General features: G+C 44.7%; 1 protein-coding gene and 2 long non-coding RNA genes across 14 annotated transcripts in view, besides 2 other annotated features; 2 read left to right on the forward strand and 1 right to left on the reverse strand.

The window, feature by feature from the left end:
* MIR3976HG (MIR3976 host gene) overlaps positions 1 to 16,708 on the forward strand; it is a 165,609-nt gene that overhangs the window by 132,742 nt on the left and 16,159 nt on the right. For 2 of the 10 annotated variants that reach the window (NR_172495.1, NR_172494.1), the window contains 3 exons: positions 5,981 to 6,182; positions 7,540 to 7,633; positions 7,733 to 7,981. This is a non-coding gene — a long non-coding RNA (MIR3976 host gene). The other 8 variants (NR_172496.1, NR_172498.1, NR_172503.1 and 5 more) reach the window with 6 other exon arrangements.
* On the reverse strand, positions 532 to 14,634 carry TMEM200C (transmembrane protein 200C). Of its 2 annotated transcripts, NM_001080209.3 has the most exons (3): positions 14,315 to 14,634; positions 13,490 to 13,940; positions 532 to 10,617 (listed from the first exon to the last, which is right to left on the reverse strand). In NM_001080209.3, exon 3 carries the CDS (start codon positions 10,521 to 10,523, stop codon positions 8,658 to 8,660), a length of 1,866 nt encoding a protein of 621 aa, NP_001073678.1. In that variant the 5' UTR covers positions 10,524 to 10,617; positions 13,490 to 13,940; positions 14,315 to 14,634; the 3' UTR covers positions 532 to 8,657. The 2 variants fall into 2 exon arrangements, with proteins under 2 accessions (NP_001073678.1, NP_001382329.1); NM_001395400.1 differs by lacking the exon at positions 14,315 to 14,634 and having other exon boundaries at positions 13,490 to 13,982.
* Positions 9,023 to 9,242: a silencer, noted in NCBI's record as "silent region_9265". NCBI's record gives its function as "represses an Ori minimal core promoter by ATAC-STARR-seq in GM12878 lymphoblastoid cells {active_cell/tissue: GM12878}" and the evidence as "EXISTENCE:reporter gene assay evidence [ECO:0000049][PMID:35858748]".
* Positions 9,760 to 10,287: an enhancer, noted in NCBI's record as "H3K27ac-H3K4me1 hESC enhancer chr18:5891299-5891826 (GRCh37/hg19 assembly coordinates)". NCBI's record gives its function as "activates a minimal SCP1, AML or CMV promoter by ChIP-STARR-seq in naive H9 embryonic stem cells {active_cell/tissue: H9 hESC(naive)}" and the evidence as "EXISTENCE:reporter gene assay evidence [ECO:0000049][PMID:30033119]".
* LOC121725015 (uncharacterized) overlaps positions 14,187 to 16,708 on the forward strand; it is a 93,648-nt gene continuing 91,126 nt past the window's right edge. For both annotated transcript variants that reach the window (NR_172505.1, NR_172504.1), the window contains exon 1: positions 14,187 to 14,546. This is a non-coding gene — a long non-coding RNA (uncharacterized LOC121725015). The remainder of the gene's footprint in view (positions 14,547 to 16,708) is intronic.

Raw genomic sequence — 16,708 nt, forward strand, 5'->3', positions numbered from 1 at the left:
TATCATCAATTCTAATTTTTATTGCAATAGCCTGATTCCCAAATCTGTAATTCAGGCCAAGACTCAGAAATCAATCTCAGGCAGGCATATTAGTTTTAGACATGATGGAAGAATGTTCCGGATTTTAATAGACAATCTTCCCCCTTCTTCTGTCTTTAAGATTATAAGGACTGCCTATAAATTAAAAGATACAATGGATGGATTACTCCTTATGAGACCCAAACTAGCATCTTTTTGCTGTCTTTCCTCCATGACTTAAATGTGCTGAAAGATGTTGGTAAAAGAGAAAGCATTAAAGATATAGATGCTCCTTGCTGTTCAAGTTGCCCTTTCTAATCTGAGTGAATGAAATCAGAGAAGAGTGAGGCAAGCCTGTGACACTTCCGGGATCTCATCATTTTCAGTGGATAAAAAGGCTTTGCATTCAACCCTCAGCACCAGGGGTTATAATCCAAACAGCCTTGTAGAGCTGGAATTTACAATTTTCTTCCAAAGGACTATGGGAGCATGTCTAAATAATTATACATCTCCACCATTGCGTAAACCAGTTTAATTAACATTTTTCAGGCATGTCACATTTATACATTCACTAAATAATTTTCTAAAATTATGCTGCATTACAAGTTGCCACATATCAACTTGGATTATTTTTACTCATGGCCCTAATCATGTCTGAATTTTATTTTCCTTTTTATATCCCTTTATTTTTTTTTGCTATAATTTGGTACTTCCATTGAAGATGATTCATACTTACAGGCTAGCCAGATGCTTTGTTCAATTTATTTGCCAAGTGTTGCATTTAATTGCCACTGACTTAATGAAAGCTGGCATTTTTTTCAGGCAGGTATAGCATTATTAAATGTCCTTTCCATTCACTTTATAATAAAAGAAATCTTGGAAAGCATTCACCAGCATCTCTCTGACTTAGTCAGAATATCCTACATGAATCAAAGAAAGGTTCTAGTTTTGGACATCCATGGGATTTGAGGAACGAGGAGATTGCAAACATGCACTTCAATTGTGTTTTGGCTTTTCAGTGGCACATGTTTCCAGAAGATATCAGTCAATTTACTCTCTATTTGAGAAGATATAAAAAATTGGGACGCAAACAATTACTTATTATTAGTGCTCAAATTACTTTTCGGTCTTTTTTAAGACTATTATTATTATTACTATTACTATCACTATAAATGCATTCAATTTTTTAAAGTAGTAATCCCAAGCAAGATTAATAAATCAAGAGATGTTCTCAGGCATGAAGCTGAAATAAAACTAGAAATACAAAGAGAATAAATTGTACAATCAAATGAGCAAGCACTCAAGTCGTATTTAGTGCTCCAAACACATTAACCTGCAATGGTTACATAAGCAGAAGGATTAGTATTTAGGTCACCAAATTAGTCTTTTGAATTTTCTTGCTCTTTATCAAGAATTCTATGTGCTTCCTGATATCATTTACCATGACATATTAACCACAGCACTTTATCTACCAGCATTTCCAATTTTTAATCTTCTTACCAATAGATATAACCTTATGGAAGAATTATTAGTGGCTCTGACAATAAACCATAACTGATGATATCTATTAAATTTTATCTATAATGCAAAGTGGTTTTGCAGAATTCTCACTTTCATGGATTAGAAAACACATTTTATATGTTTGCCTTGACTGTGTTTATGCACTAAAAAGATTTTGAAGAAATCAAGTAATTATGTGAGGAATTCAAACTAACAAAATTATACTTTTGTTAATAAAATTATTTTTTTTTTACTTTAATAGAATATTTGTTTTGAAAAGCAGGTTTTTTGCCTGTATCTTTTTGTTTGCAGCTTTGTGCATAAACAAAGTATTAAGCTGCATCTATACTTTGCTATTCTGGCCAAATCTGTTTTCAGTGACTATCTCAAAATGACTGGCTGTTTAAAAATCAAAAGGCATAGTGTTTTTGGTGCCAGTCCACAAACAATACTCATACACATTTGCGACAGTATGTCTGGGTCTTAACCTTTCCTTTTGCTATGAACGCATACGTGAGGAACAAAAAAACGGATGTTTATTATTAACAAAGATAAATTATTTATGTTTCCTGATATAAATGCTGCTGCAAAATTGATGTAGAAATCTGTAGAAATATATTCAGTTATCATGTGTAGATTCTGAAAAATGACCTGTGGCTTGATAGAACAACCCCCAAGTTTATGCTGTCTCCAGTCTTTACGGTACATGGATCAACACACTTGATCCATGATGCAAACAGTGTTGCCAAGTGACAGATTCTCCTCTCAGTTTTATCTCCTTATACACACGTCTAGGGAAATGATTTCCAGAATCTGAAATTTCAAATTTAATGGTAATTTTAAAGCAATGTATAATTCAGCAAAAATCATTCTTGCTCATAAAGATAGCTTAGGTCCAATAAGAATTTAGTTTGTTAGTTCTATGTACTGATACTTCTCAGTTAAGAAGCCCTGCTAGTGAAGGTCAGTTAAAAATGAATCATTAAATATAGAATGTAGGTATATATATTTTGAGCATTTTAATGCCAAACCATCGTAATTTTAATTTCGAATATCCTTCTGCTACTTATAAAGGAGACATCTATTTATCTATATCTATAGATCAGAGATATATAGTTTGTTTTGTTTTTGTTGTTTTTTTCCAAAATAAACACCTCTATGCTATGGAGATACTAGGTAATAATTAAATATCAATTACCTTATGAACATCTGGCTTTTTAAATTGTGTTTTGTGTTCTGCATTTGCTCATGCTGGCCCCACTGGCCAACACACCTTTCCCAGCTTTTTGTACCTATCTGACATTTTCTTCATTTCTCAAGACTCAGCTGGAAGATTTGTATCATAACTCTCTTGTAATATTCACATTATAGTAAAATTATGGTTTATGTGCCTGTCTCAGAAACAATACTATTACAAGATTCTGTGGTCAGAAATTGTGTCTTTCACAGACACAAAAAGGATATTTTTGTCCTTTCTACCTACCACAGTGCCTATCTGACTCATGATAGGCAGAGTATAATATATCTGAAACTCATCTGAAAGCAATTTGTGTAGTTTACCAAAAGGGCAGAAGCTTGAAACACAGCTGCTTACTATACAGGTGAAATCAGGTGTTTTTTAGGTTGTGTCTATACAAAAGGGAGTGAAAAGGCAATTAGCCACATAAAACAATAGCAAAAGTCCTCCACTGAGACAAAGTCATTTTCTGATCCGGTTTGCTTCGACTGACCTAGTTATATCAGTCATTAATAACTTTTAGATTTTTTTTTCTTTAGACATATAGACATAGTTTAAAGATACTGGAGTTTCTCAACTTAAAATAAATTGTTCATAAATTTGCCCATAAATTTATTTTCAATTATTAAATATTATTAGGTGTTTAGCATTTACTAGTATCAAGTGGGTTTGCATCAATAATACAATGTTGTGTTGAATTTCTTAAATATTAAAAAATATATGAATTAATGTCTAGCCATGCATTTGCAAAAAGAATATTTGCTAAGGAATAAAAGTTATTGCAATTTTTAAGACACTTTACATACAAAATGATCTGTAAACAAGAGTAACCAAATGCTCCTTTATGAAACAAAAAGCTTCCCTAGTGATTCTGGCCTATCTTTTTTTTTCTTTCGGCAGGATGCTCTTTTTCTTCCACCCCTGGGCCTGCCTATTTTCCTCCCTTGTTATTGACAGTCAGCCTTCGTGGGACTTGGTCACAATGTAGGATCAGAAAGCACAGGTTATTGAGACAGGCCCATACTTTGTAACACTCCAGGAGAATCTGCATAATCTTTTTCGGTCTTTTCACCAGCAATGACAGTATGTTATCTTACTAACGAATCAGCCCATGTCCATGTCATAGCTGGCATTATTAAAGGGGCAACAGCTAAGAGCCCATTTCAAGTGGAATAACAATATCTTTCCAGGTGGTGGAAATCCTGAAATGCTTCTGGCTCTGGGATGAAGGCTAAGTCCTTAGGATGGCTGGCATTTGTAACTCCTACTGTAGTTCACACCCATGTGGGCTCAGCACTAGCACAGTGCTTTTCTGATGTCATAGATGAACGGATGGCATACAGAAAGTAAGGAGCTTCTCAGGTCTTGGCAGAGTTGCAGGTAGTTTGACTAAAGTTGGACTCCTTAACTGGTGGTGGCTTAATAGATAAAACATTGAATTTTCTTATCAATTTAAAGAAGAATCTCATTCCTTTTTGAAGAAAAAACCCCAAAGATAACTTCCCTGGGGTAGGGTGGGGTGTCTTAGATTGTTTTTCAGAGTTAGTCATTCAAAAATTTAGTCTAAATATTCACCCAATGAGTTTTATTCCTCCCTTCCAAATAGCAATAAAAATTTTAAAATAGTCTGGGTTTATGGAAAACAAACTCCGTAAACATCAACCTATTCTTTGTTATAAGTAAGAAAAATATCCATCTTAAACTGCAACCCTTAATACAAGAAGATCTTATTTATAAAATGTATTTTTATATCGTGGCAAAAATACTATCCTAATCCAAATACAAGTCCATATACTTAGTCTGTACTAATTTTATGTGTCAGAGGGTTTTTCTTAAGTTCTCTAGCTCAAAAAAAAATCAAAACTGCATCTTAAAGAACTCAAAATTACTGAAGAAAAAAATTAATATAGAAAAAACTTTTGTCTAGACAATTTAAATAACTCAATAGAGCACCTGATCTTTACTTGAAGCCTAATAGGGGGCTGAGACCTCAAGGACTTCACTGGCCTTTCTGATACGGCTAGCCTCAATAAATGGAAATGCAATAATTGTGGCTAAATATAGCCAAGTGTGCCAGTTTGGGCGTTCATTCATTGTTATATAATATTATGATCCTGGGACCATAAGGAGCATATGTCTAGCTCTTGATAGTTCTATGTTCTACCAGGAGGCATTGCAGCAGCATAAGCCCTCATGTTTTAAGGTCTAACTTTTCTTTCTGATATACCTAAATTTTAAAGACTTTTTAGTACATTAAGTTTATGGTTGTCCCTAACTACTGAGTAGTAAATTTAGCCTACTAATTGCTTTTCTGTATTTTGCCTTAATAATAGTAGTTAACATTTACTGAATATTTTTATGTGCCAGGAGTTGTTCTAAGTCCTTTAATTATATTAGTTTATTTAGTCCTCATTTAAATAATTAATTCTATGTGCCAAATTCCATTTATTATCTCCATTTACTAGATGTGAAGACCCAGTTATAATGTTATATAACCCCCTAAGTCACACTTTGAGCCACTATGCTATGTTGCCTTATACTTTAGATTTTTAAGCCTAAAATTATTCTATTAATAAAAAGGAAGGTCATATGAAGTAATTGTTTAGCAGTTGATTCTATTTTAAATAAAAGGAACAAACCTTTGTATAATACTCTCTATGTTCCAAGCCCATTATAAGCACTTTACACAAATATTAGTTCATTTAATCTTTACTCCAGTCCTGTAAGATAGGGACATTATTATTCCTATAGTGTGGAAAAGGAAATTGAGACACAGAGAGACTATGTAACTTGTCCATGGTCACCCAGCTGGTACATGACAGAAATTCAGGGAAAAAATACCATCACACCAATTGTTGCAATTATTTTAATTTAACATTCGAGTCCTGCCACTGCTGTTTGTCTCAGAATAAATTGTTCCATCTTTCTAAATCTTAGAAACCTCATTTATAAATTAAAGGTGGGGGGATTCTATCATCTATAAGGCCCTTTCAAATACTCTTATTTATTGTGTACAAAAACCCCTGAAAAGTCACTTACAAAAAAACTTGTTCATGCCCGTCTGAAGATTTACGAACTCCAGCTTTTTATCTGACTGTGCATTCTGACAATTTTCTGCATTTCTCTAAGAATGGTCTGGAAAGGGATCTGGCAGGAAATAAAGAATATATAAAGTATTTTGATGGTCTCCAGAAATGCCCATTTCAACTCAGCATCTGCCGACAGGTCTACCTAATCTTCCAAACTCTGTGTAAATCCTGGATCCACCATTTACCAGCTGTGTAACCCTGGACAACAATTCCATCTTTCTGACCTCAGTGTCTTTCTCTGCAAAACAGCGGTAAGAATGATCCTACTTCAATAGAGTTGCTGTGAGGATTCACTGAGATCATGTGTACCAAGCTCCTACAATAGTACTGAACCCACAGTAAGTACTGAGTGAAAATTAGCATTATTGCAGATTTCTGCTCCTATGAAAGTTACGATTGTGAATTACTACACTTATACACTTCCTCTGAAGTCTAAAGAAATCACAGGCTCCTCCCAAGATTTGGAAAATTGAGCTCATCTTTGTCTATCTTCAGAAAAAAAATCTAGTTAAATTGTTCAATGGTTAAGTTAGATATTATCTGATATGGAACTAAGTTTGTGAGATATAAACAGTATTCTGTCCACCCCTCCTTAGTTAAGCTAAGAGGTATTAGCTTTATTATTTGCTAAATGTCACTTAGCATTTGATAAATGTAACATTTACAGTGCATTCTCCGAGGACTGGAAACAGTATTGTAGAACACCAGAACCTGTTTTCCCCTTGAAGTAACACGCTATCTCAGTATATAAATTACCCAGTACCCAAGGTAATGGAGAAGAAAACCTAAGGAAGTTTGACATTTACTTTGGAAGTGTGATAAAGCAATTGAGACTGTTGAAATTTAACACTACCTTGAGGTCTTATTACACTTGCATGTCACTCCTTAGTGCAAACTCACTTTTGCTTTATAGAAGAGCCCAATATATTAATCTACAGCCTTAAAGTGAGTTACCGGTTTAATGCAGATCCAATCTGAGAATAAATTAGGCCCTTTTAAAGTGTATTACAGAATGTTGAGCTAATGGTAATTGACGACGTATATTCACTCTTTGCCAAGTTGTAGGTACAAATGTGATATGATTACATCCAGGACAAGAGCCTGAATTTAAGTAAGGCTTTTAGAGCTGAAGATCATAGAGATTATATCATCTACCAGAGGCCCAGAGGGATTAAGTGATTTGTCTAAGGTTATACAGATAATAGGTGGATATCCCAGATTTCAGACTAGACTTTCTTGAGCTCAAGTTCAAGGAAGGTCCATTCTTCTACACTATGCATTCAGCAATATATTACAATGGTAATAATAATTACAATAACCCCCATCTATTGAATACATCCTGTGGGCCAAGGGTTCTGGTAAACTCCACACATATAAACCCTCCTCTGACCCTGACCCTGTTCTATTCCTCTCATAGCTCCATGAGATATGTCTGGTTCTCTTCATTTTACAGAAAGATGACTGAGACTCAGAGTTTGTGACTTGTACAAGGCCTCACAGCTAGGAGATGCCAACAGCTGGGTCCAATCTCAGCTCGGAATCTGCACTCTGTCTACAGGACTAGCGCTTTGCCCAAGGAGACCAAAATGAAGACATCTTGTCTCCTGGTCTTGAAAATTAACTAATTCACTTTTAATGACATCAAGTGTAAACAATCTACCAAATTATTAAAACATTATCTTTTTGTCTATGTAGGCCATGGATCAAGACCATTAACTTATAATCAGTGATAGCCAAGAGGATGGGAAGAGAATATTAAGCCTGGTGCTCTGCAAATTAATACTTGCAGGTAAATGAGAAGTATCATAGGCATATTACTATTTACTTAACGTTTCATTCTATTTGAAAGAGAAATTCCCAAATGTTAAATACTACCCTACATTTTAAGCTTAAAAATACGCTGGACATGCGACAATGGTGCTGAGTACTTTGGGGGAAGATCACAACAGTCCTGGTAGCAGTGTCACAGCAAAATATTTCAGAGGTACCAGATGAGCTAGCTCCAAGGCAAATGAGGCAATATTATGTTTAACTGTTTGTTCGGAAACTTCTTTTATTAAAAAAGATTTTAAATATTAATGCTATTTTCAATACAGGTGTGATAACACTCAATAAAGCATGGTGTACTTGATATAAATTTCGGAATGTAACAGTCCATCTAGTTCCTGGTCCCCTCCAGTCTCCACCACATAGCCTAGTAGCAAAACGTACACACCCGTTTAAAAATGAAGAAGCTTTTGGGCATTGGGTGAGCACAGTGGGGTGGGGCAAGGAAAGTGCTCGTTCCTGAATTATTCATGCTTTTGGCTTTGACTTCAGTTAGTAACATCAATTCTAAGAGAACTGAGACAAACTCTTCTATGTTCCGCAAAGGAATGGAGAAAAAAGCCTGCCATTCGCAAGCAGCTGTGGGCAAAACCAGCGCAGAGTACAGGGGTCGGGAAATGAGGGATTAAAAAAAAAAGTCGGAGTAAAGTGCACAGTTACTGTCAAAAATATATTATTTTGATCCTAAGAAAATTAAAAGATTTTATCTAATGGACTAGATTGCTGACCTTTTAATACATTTGGTTTTCATTGAACATACAATCACCATCGGACATAAAAAGACTAGTTTGCTTAAAAAAAAAAATCCTTGGAGTTATCTACAGGAATCTTGTGGACGCAATTCAAGGATAACATTCTGCAGCTCTTTGGATATTGAATGATGTCCTCGGATCAGTCCACAAAAGAAACAGGGACCTGTTAATGCACTGATTCAAGTGGGCGTTTCTCCCATTTTCTCTTTCCTCCTCCCCAACCCACCCCTTTCTCTAAATGCCTGTGCTTTCCAGTTCTTCTTCTACCCCTATGGCATGAGACCTGGAAATCATGATGAGTTTCTCCTTGTTTGTAAACTGCCTCTGCACCGGCTGAGGTTGCTCGGCCGTGGGTGGCTCCTGGCTGGCACCCTCCGGCGAGCTCTGCTCCGCACCCAGAACGGGGGCGGCCACAGCAGAGTCTCGCGTTTGACCAGCTACTGCGTCCAAGACCGACTCGGTGGAGGTGCCGGCCTCCCGCAGGGGTGTGTAGCCCTTATTGCTGCTGGATGGGTCATCCGACTGGGAGCTCCCGGAGTCCCGCCTGGTGGGGGGCGAGCCCTCCAGCCGCAGGGGTGGCGAGGGGGAGGCGGCCTTGGCCAGAGGGCTGGAGTCCGGGTCCGCACTCCCCGGGGAGGGCGGGGGCTCGGGGGACGGCGGCGCCCGGTAGTCCGGGAGCCCGCTGGTGCTGCGGCGCCGCAAGGCCGCGTACCTGCCGGTCCTGGGCAGGCGGCCGCCCTGCCCCCTGGCGGCGCGCGCCGCTACCGCGCCCTCGGGCTCCTCCGGCTCCCGGCGCGCCCCGCGCATGCTGCCCTCTGCGCCGCGGAGGTTGGTCATGCTCAGGTCGAGCTCGCCCCTCGGGATCTCCTGGGAGCCGCGTTCCCCCGGAGGCCTCTGCCAGCTGCAGCTCGCGCCCTCCGCGTCCCCGCCCCTATCGCGGCCCCCTTGCAAGGGCAGCAGCGCGAAGGCGCTCAGCGAGGAGTCCACGAAGGAGCTGGCCGTGCTCTGGCGCCCCCAGCTCTCGGGTGGGCTGCAGGGCGCCGGACTGCTGCAGCTGCTAGCGGCTGCGGCGGCGGTGGCAGCGGCGGCCCGGCGACTGCCTGCCACGCCCGAGCGCTCGCGGTAGACGCTGTACACGGCCTCGGCCAGGCTCGGGGGCTCCCGCGGACAGCGCGGGGAAGAGGCCAGGTCCGGCGGGGACGCGGCGCCCCGAGGGCGGCCGCCGCTCGGCGCCGCGGGGTGAGGAGGCCACGAGCCCTTGGCCAGCATCGCCGCCGCTCCGAAGGCGTCCCCGGAGCCACCGCAGCCCCCGGGCTTCAGCTCCAGGCCCCGCGACTGCACGTAGCTGAGGAAGCCGTTGAGCGGTATGGCCCCGGGGGGCGCCGCGGCGGGGGCAGACGACGACGAAGAGGCGGCGGCGGCCGCGGCGGCGGCCGCGGCGGCCGCCAGGTCTTTGGCGCGGAGGCTGTGCACGTCGATGACGGTGGAGTAGAGGTCCCGCAGGTTGATGATTTTGGTCTTCTTGTCCCGGTTCTCGTGGAGGACCGCGTTTGCGCAGATGAAGAGGAAGATGCCGATGCCCATGATGAGGGGCCCGAAGACCTTGAGCTTGTCAGAGTGCAGGTAGCCAGAGAAGATGCGGAAGAAGAAGCCCACGGACGTGGAGGAGGAGGACGGGGAGGCGGCTCGTGCTGGAGGCGTGCTCCTGGGCGCGCCCGCGGAACTGGAGTTGACACCCCCTGGAGCCCTAGGGTGGCTCCTGGACCGGTTTTTGCTGCCACTGCTACTGCTGTTGGCCGTGGTTGGGACCCGGTGGCTGCTGCCCGCAGGCGGCAGCTGCTTACCCCCCTCCCGATTGGTCCCGGTGGCCTTGGGCCAGTAGCCCACCACCGCCATGGCTATGCCCACCAGCAGCACCAGGATCCCACAGAGGGCGATGAGCCCTGAGATGGAGCACAGCTTCAGCTTGCCTTTCACCACCACCACGTCGTTCTTGCGCCTCTTCTTGGCTTTCCGCTTGCGCTTGGGTATCTGGCTTGGGGGGCGGAGTGGATCCTGCTTTCTGGCGGAAATCCTTAGCAGGCCGCCGGTGGCGATCATGGCGAGCTCCTGGAGTGCAGGACTAGCCTCTGGGATGGAGGCTTGCACAGGGAGGGCGCCAACTGCCCACTAGCTGCTCAGCCACCTCCTCCTGCTGCAAAGCAGAGGAAGACAGTCAGAGGGTGTCAGCTTGGCTGCAGTGACATCTCACGCTGCAGCTGCCCTACTCCCAGATCCCACTCCGTGTGTGCCCCCCACCCCAGGGCCTTTATCCACTAACTGAAACAAGGCCGTGTACAGAGGCTGGAGCCAGGTAGACACTAGGGAAGGGAAACGTTGTTGCAACAACTAATAGGTGGTTATAAAACATTGCAATAACTAATATGTGGTGATAAAACCATCTGAGAATATGCCTTCTTCTCCTCGCTCCCCACCCATCTCCTCCACACACTCCATGGTAATATGAGGGTTTGAAATGAACAATGGAGTTCCAACCATTAGTAAAACCTAAATGTAGGGACTCAAAGTAGTGGTTAAGGACCTCCCTGTCAAGATTCTTTCCCTCAGTCCTTCAGGAATTGGAAGATTTTTCAAGGGAGCTGTCACAGGAGTTTCAAGTCTCTCTAAGCTGGGGAATCTGTCAATGTGTGGCCCAAAGTCACTAAAACAGTCAGGAAAGTTACTACTGTATAAAGACAAAGGAATTTATTTCACTGGATGAAAATCAAAGGTCATATAATGGCAGGCAGGCGGTTTATTTACTTCAGATAATTAATAGAGAGTTCACCACTGGGGAAGCAGCAGAGATATTGCAATACTCTGACAATAAATCCCTTCACAAAGTTGTCTCCCACCTATGCCTGTTCCTACAGCTATGTGCAGGCAGATCCCTTGCACAGCCTTCTTCTCTCCTCTCAGCAACATCTGGACAGCTTCTTGGGGTGGAATATTTAGTTTTAGGTAACTGCTTATGTAACTGAGCTCTTCCTTCTGGCCTTCTTTCCTCCCTCAGAGGAACTCCCTTAAAGGTATCATGTGTCAGATTTCATCAGGGAATTTGAGAAGTCCCCTGGAATCTCCAAGAGAAAGATCTTTTTCTCATATGGGAAAATTACAATTAAAAAAACTAACACTCTGCCATAATAGCTTTCTGACCCCTTATTAAGGTGCCAAGAGCATGCTACAGAGTCCCAGTATTCAAATGAGTAGGCAACTAACTAGGTAAAGCAGTCTACATAATATGATGATTTGTAGAATGACATTTCCCCCAAGCCAAAACTGTTTTGTTTTGTTTTGTTTTTCCCCCTTATCCCTTTCTCATGAGGTCATTTTTAGGAAGGGAGGGTGGCAACAATCAATGGACTACTCTTAGGAAGTTTATTTAGTTGTTTGTAAAAGCCTGGGTAGGAAAATTCACAAATGCATATTTGTAGTTATTCGGCAGCCTCTAAAAATTACAGTCTTGCTGTATCTCCAGAGTAGAACATTTTCTGTCCCATTAGTTGTTTTCCCTCCTATGAGATGCTAAAATCAAGGACATTGTATGAACTGAAAGACTTAGATATCACGCCCAAGCCTTTTGCTCTTCTATCCTTTATCAGATAATTCATGTTTTAGAATAAATTCCCCCTTGAAAATGTGTGGTAGGTAGAATTTTGCTTTTAATTGGTGATTGGGTGAAAGGCTTTGGCCCTTGAGTTCCTCCATTATATCAATATAGGCAGGATCTTTTCTCCATCAGTGGGAATGTAAATGGTAATCAGCTCTTTGCAATATTTGCAAATCAATATCTCTTTGGGACTTAGCTGGGTTTCAGTAAAGAGAAGCACCAGGTAGATAAGAGAGGGGTCAGTATAGAGAATACATCTATAAACCTTTAAGCTGCACCAGTAAGTACAGATTGAAACAAACAAAAAAAAGAGCTTACTGTCTATCTCTAATCCCAAATAAGTAAGCACATTTATTATGTGGTTGTAACATAGAGACTGTTGTTTTAAGTGATCCTTGGAGTCCAGCATCTTAAATAATCTGGAGATCCGTGGTTATCTTAAGAAGGCTTTAAGGACCAGACATTTTTTAGAAGCGAACTCAGACTCAGTTGGCAGGGTGGCTCTCCCACCGCAGAAAGGCTACATGTTTTGTTGGGCATTGATCAGGTGCGCCGGGAGGCTGGATGCCTTGGGGGAGGAGGAAACCCACTTGGATTTCTCCTCAGCAAGGCAGCTTTGGCTCCGGTAGAATGTAAGGAAGGTTGGAATGGATTTCAACAGTCCTTTACCGCACATCTTTAAAATGAGTTTAATAGCTAGTAATTAACTCCCTCGTTTATTATTCCTTCAGCTCTGTTGAAGGCTGTACTCCCTTTTAATGTATCATCATCTGACACGAAATACAGACAAAGGTCAGATGCCACGGGAGACCCACCTTTGAGGTTTTCCTTTATACCTAATGAAAGAAAACAAACTTAGCAGTCAAGCTTGGCTGCCCTCGCAATTTACTGCCTGGAGCTGGTCTTACCGTGGTTAAAGAATGGAGGATGGGGGAAGCAAAGGAGGGATGTCTAAAAATACAACTGCTTCCAAGAGAGACATTCAAGTTCTCCGCTCAAGATGGATTAAGCCCCACTCTGAGGCTCGGAGGCTCGGATCCCACAGGCTGGGAGCGCTGTGCTGTGCCCGGTACCCAACCCAGGTCCTCGACCCCGGCCCCTCACTGGCAGGGCGGCGACCCCCTGGCCCCTGGCTTTGGTCTGCTTATTGATGTTAGCTGGAGTCACATGAGTGCAGCAGCTGGGAGTCCGCCTCTGGAAAGAAGACAGGCAGGAGCCAAGTGAGGGCAATCCTGAACTAGCTTTTTCTGGGCAGCGCATCCCGTGTAGCCAGCCCGGGAAAAAGCCTCTCACCGAACACCAGCCCGGGGCGCGGGGACTCGGGGACCCGAGGGGCGGGGAGGGGCCCCCAAGGGCTGGGGACTGGCAGAATTGCTCAAAATGGCAGCACTCTCCGCACGCAAGATCGCTCACTTACCCAGGGAGACCGAGGGAGGTCGGGGCCGGCGAACGGGCGCTCGGGCGACACAAAGGAACCATGGAGAAACTTTTTCAGCCCGAGCCGACGGCGGAGCGCAGGGACAGCGCCCCGGGGCCCCGCATCCGAGCGCGACTCAGCAGCCCCGCGGGGGCGAGCGCCCGCCCCAGGCTCGCAGTCCCCGCCGGCGCTGTGGCGGGAGCCATTTCCAAGAGTTTCCAAGAAGTGTCAGGTCCTCCGCATCCCGCATCCCGCATCCCGCCTCGGAGCCCTCCTCTCCGCCGCTCATCCTCCAGCTCCCGGCGTCCCCTAGCGCGGCGCTCCCGGGCGGGCCCCTGCGGCCGCGCCGCCGGCCCTCGCGCCTCTTTTGTGTGGCTGCGGCGCGCCGGGCTCCGCCGGGTGGAGTTGAGCCCGCGGCGGCGGCTCGGGGCGGCCGGACTGGCGGCTGTTGCTAAGAGACCGGAGCCATGACACAGGGAAATTGCGGCAGGGTGGCGGTCGGGGCCCGCCCGGCTCGGCGGAGTCGGGGGGCGCCCCCGCCCCCGCCCCCCGCCCCACCCCCTCCTCCGGCGCCCCCCCCCACGCCGCCGGCCTTCCCCGCTCCCCCGCGTCCTCCGCCGCCCGCCGCCCGTCCCTTCGGAAGCGCCGATTCCTCGGGGAGGAGGAGGCGTGAGGGGAGGCGGCGGAGGCAGCCGGCACGGGGCGCTCGGGCCGCGGGGCAGGGGGCGCGGGGTGCCTCCTCGGCCTCGGCTCTCCCCGCCCCGGGGCGCCCCGAGACCGCCGCCTGCCTCCGCGGGCAGCTTTGTTCTTCTTTCCTCCAACTACCTGTCTGAGCCGCGGGCCCCAGAGGCCCCAAAGAGAGGCCCGGAGGGTCTCCCCAGCAGCATCCGAGGGGCGCTCTCGGGGAGCTAGGGGCCAGAGTCCGCGGTCCCTCCGTGCCTGCCTCCCTCCCCTCGTGCCTCGGTCTTTTGTTGCCTCTACTCCTCGGCACGGCGCAGCCTGGGCTCTCTTCCCCCTCCCGCTTGGGAGTTTGCAGTGTGGACGCTCGGCAAGCACAGTAAGTTGTCCCCCAGCGAACTCGGGCCCGGGCGGAGTGGAGCCGCCCCCGCCGGGACGGGCGCACCGCGGGACGCTTGGAAGCCTCTGCCAGATGCGCTCGCGCTCCAGCCCCGCCGGGCTTTGTGACCAGCCTGACCGGGACCCGGCAGCTGGGGCTCCTCGGAGATCAGAATGGGCTCCGGGGCTCTTCCTTGGGCAGCCCCTCCTGCTCCTCCCCGGTGCGGTAATCAGCAAGCATTAAAAGGAAAACTATAATTCTCCAGGAATCAGGAATCAGGGTTGGAATCAGAGAGGGGAGGTGGGGGTAGGGAGGATGTCCAAACTCCCTACGTCATTTAAAAAAGAGAGAAGGCGAGAGAGAGAGAGAAAGAGATCGAGATCCTGTTTCCTAGTTCATCCCTGTCTTCTCAACTGTAAAGTAAAAATGACAGGGAAAAGAGAATTTCAAAGTGGAATTTCCCCAAAGAGTATTGAGAAAGTGAGAAAGATTTCATTTATCTATTGAAATGAGGCAGCCAGGATTCAGGAAGAAAGGAACAGAAGAGCAGATGAAGCAAGTGCTGTCTGAAATTTTGGATCCAGATAAATATTTTGGTGGTGGTGGGTGTTATATATTCTGAGTTTTGCTGCTTAGGGGTCCACAAAACCCACACAGGAGGGCTCTGCTGCCCGCAGCTCCTGTTACAAGATTGTTCCCCACATACACAGCATTCACTTGTGCTTAAATCTAGAGCAGACACTTTTCAAAAAGAACAATAAAGACAACCAATTTACAAGTTCAATGATATAAATGTGAACAGTGATCTAAGAGATGGGGATAGAGACGGTGGGGGACAGGAGGGAACGAAGCAGAAGTGTTTTCTAAAAGGCAACCCTGCATTCACCTGTTGGAAAGGTGGCCTCTGTCACCCTTTTCAAGCAAATAACGAATCTGAATGATGATCAGGGTGTCCGGAACCCACCGCCTTCCCCCTACCTATTCATGCTCAGATTCAGGCTATTAGAAAACAAACCATAATGAAGGGAAAGTTTTAAATCCCACATTGGGTTGTTTCCTTTTAGAGAAATCACTGCAAAGGAAAAATAATAAGATCTAGTTGTCGTTTTCTAAAGCCTTTTTGGCTCTGAACTTCCAGATCTCCTGAATCCCAATAATAATCTGGTATTTTTTACAAAGATTGGGCCTACAGTCTCATTTCATTGCACAGCTAGCTGCCAGAGTCTATGGGCGGCAGTTCCTGTGCTCTGTTTGCTGGGCTGTACAAACAGGAATAATACTGCAGAACTTCATTAGGATTTTAGGTGGATTAAACTGCTAATAGTTTCAAGTTTCTGTGTAAATTATAGCCATCATTTGCACATTTAAAACTCATTTGAGGGATTTGGAGAAGAAAAGAATTCTTTTCTAGACAAAGGGCCTTGGGACATAGCTAGTTTTGTCTTATGTTGATGATTGCAACAAAATTTATGGCTTATTACTCAAAGGCTTCCTTCCAAACTGCGCTTTTTGGAACTTTGAACTGTTTAACCTGAATGTTATCACGTTCAGTAGTTTTCTTTGTTTTCAGCTCATGGTATCAGAGGAAATCAAGCAGATCACATCTGTTTCCAGCGGAGTCCGTTATCCCCTCTGTAATACAGAATCAACATACATTCCCAGGGGCTTTCAAGTTATTAGAGTTATTTTTAAAGGAACAAGGATACTCTTGGCCCTTCTGGCGTTATTTTCCTTCTAATCTCCCTGGCCATTTCAGTTTGGATGATTTCCGAGACTGTGGGACCCCACTTTCACCGTGCTAAGGACTGAAAGGCTACAACTACCTAGTCTTAATAATTCACTAGTGTCTCCAGATTTTGGAGCTCAGCACAGCCTTCTGACCTTGTAGCAGGGAACATAATGAAGGCCCTGGGAAAGTAAGAGAAGAGGATGAAGATTAGCTTAGTTTAGTTGGATTAAATTCTGACCTGCAACCTTTCATTTGCTCTATCTTAAAAAAAAATCCTTATATAATTTATTCAGTCTCATAATTTATTCACAACTCATTTACTTCCTGGATCATTTCACCAACCTAGCCTGGTGTGCTTGACTCGCCTGCCTGTGCTCCCAGGGCTGCGTAGGGGAAGACAGCGTCATGGGCACACACAGGACCTTCTTGGTCT

The sequence above is a fragment of the Homo sapiens genome, chromosome 18 (genome assembly GCF_000001405.40).
Source record: "Homo sapiens chromosome 18, GRCh38.p14 Primary Assembly".
Classification (NCBI taxonomy): domain Eukaryota; kingdom Metazoa; phylum Chordata; class Mammalia; order Primates; family Hominidae; genus Homo; species Homo sapiens.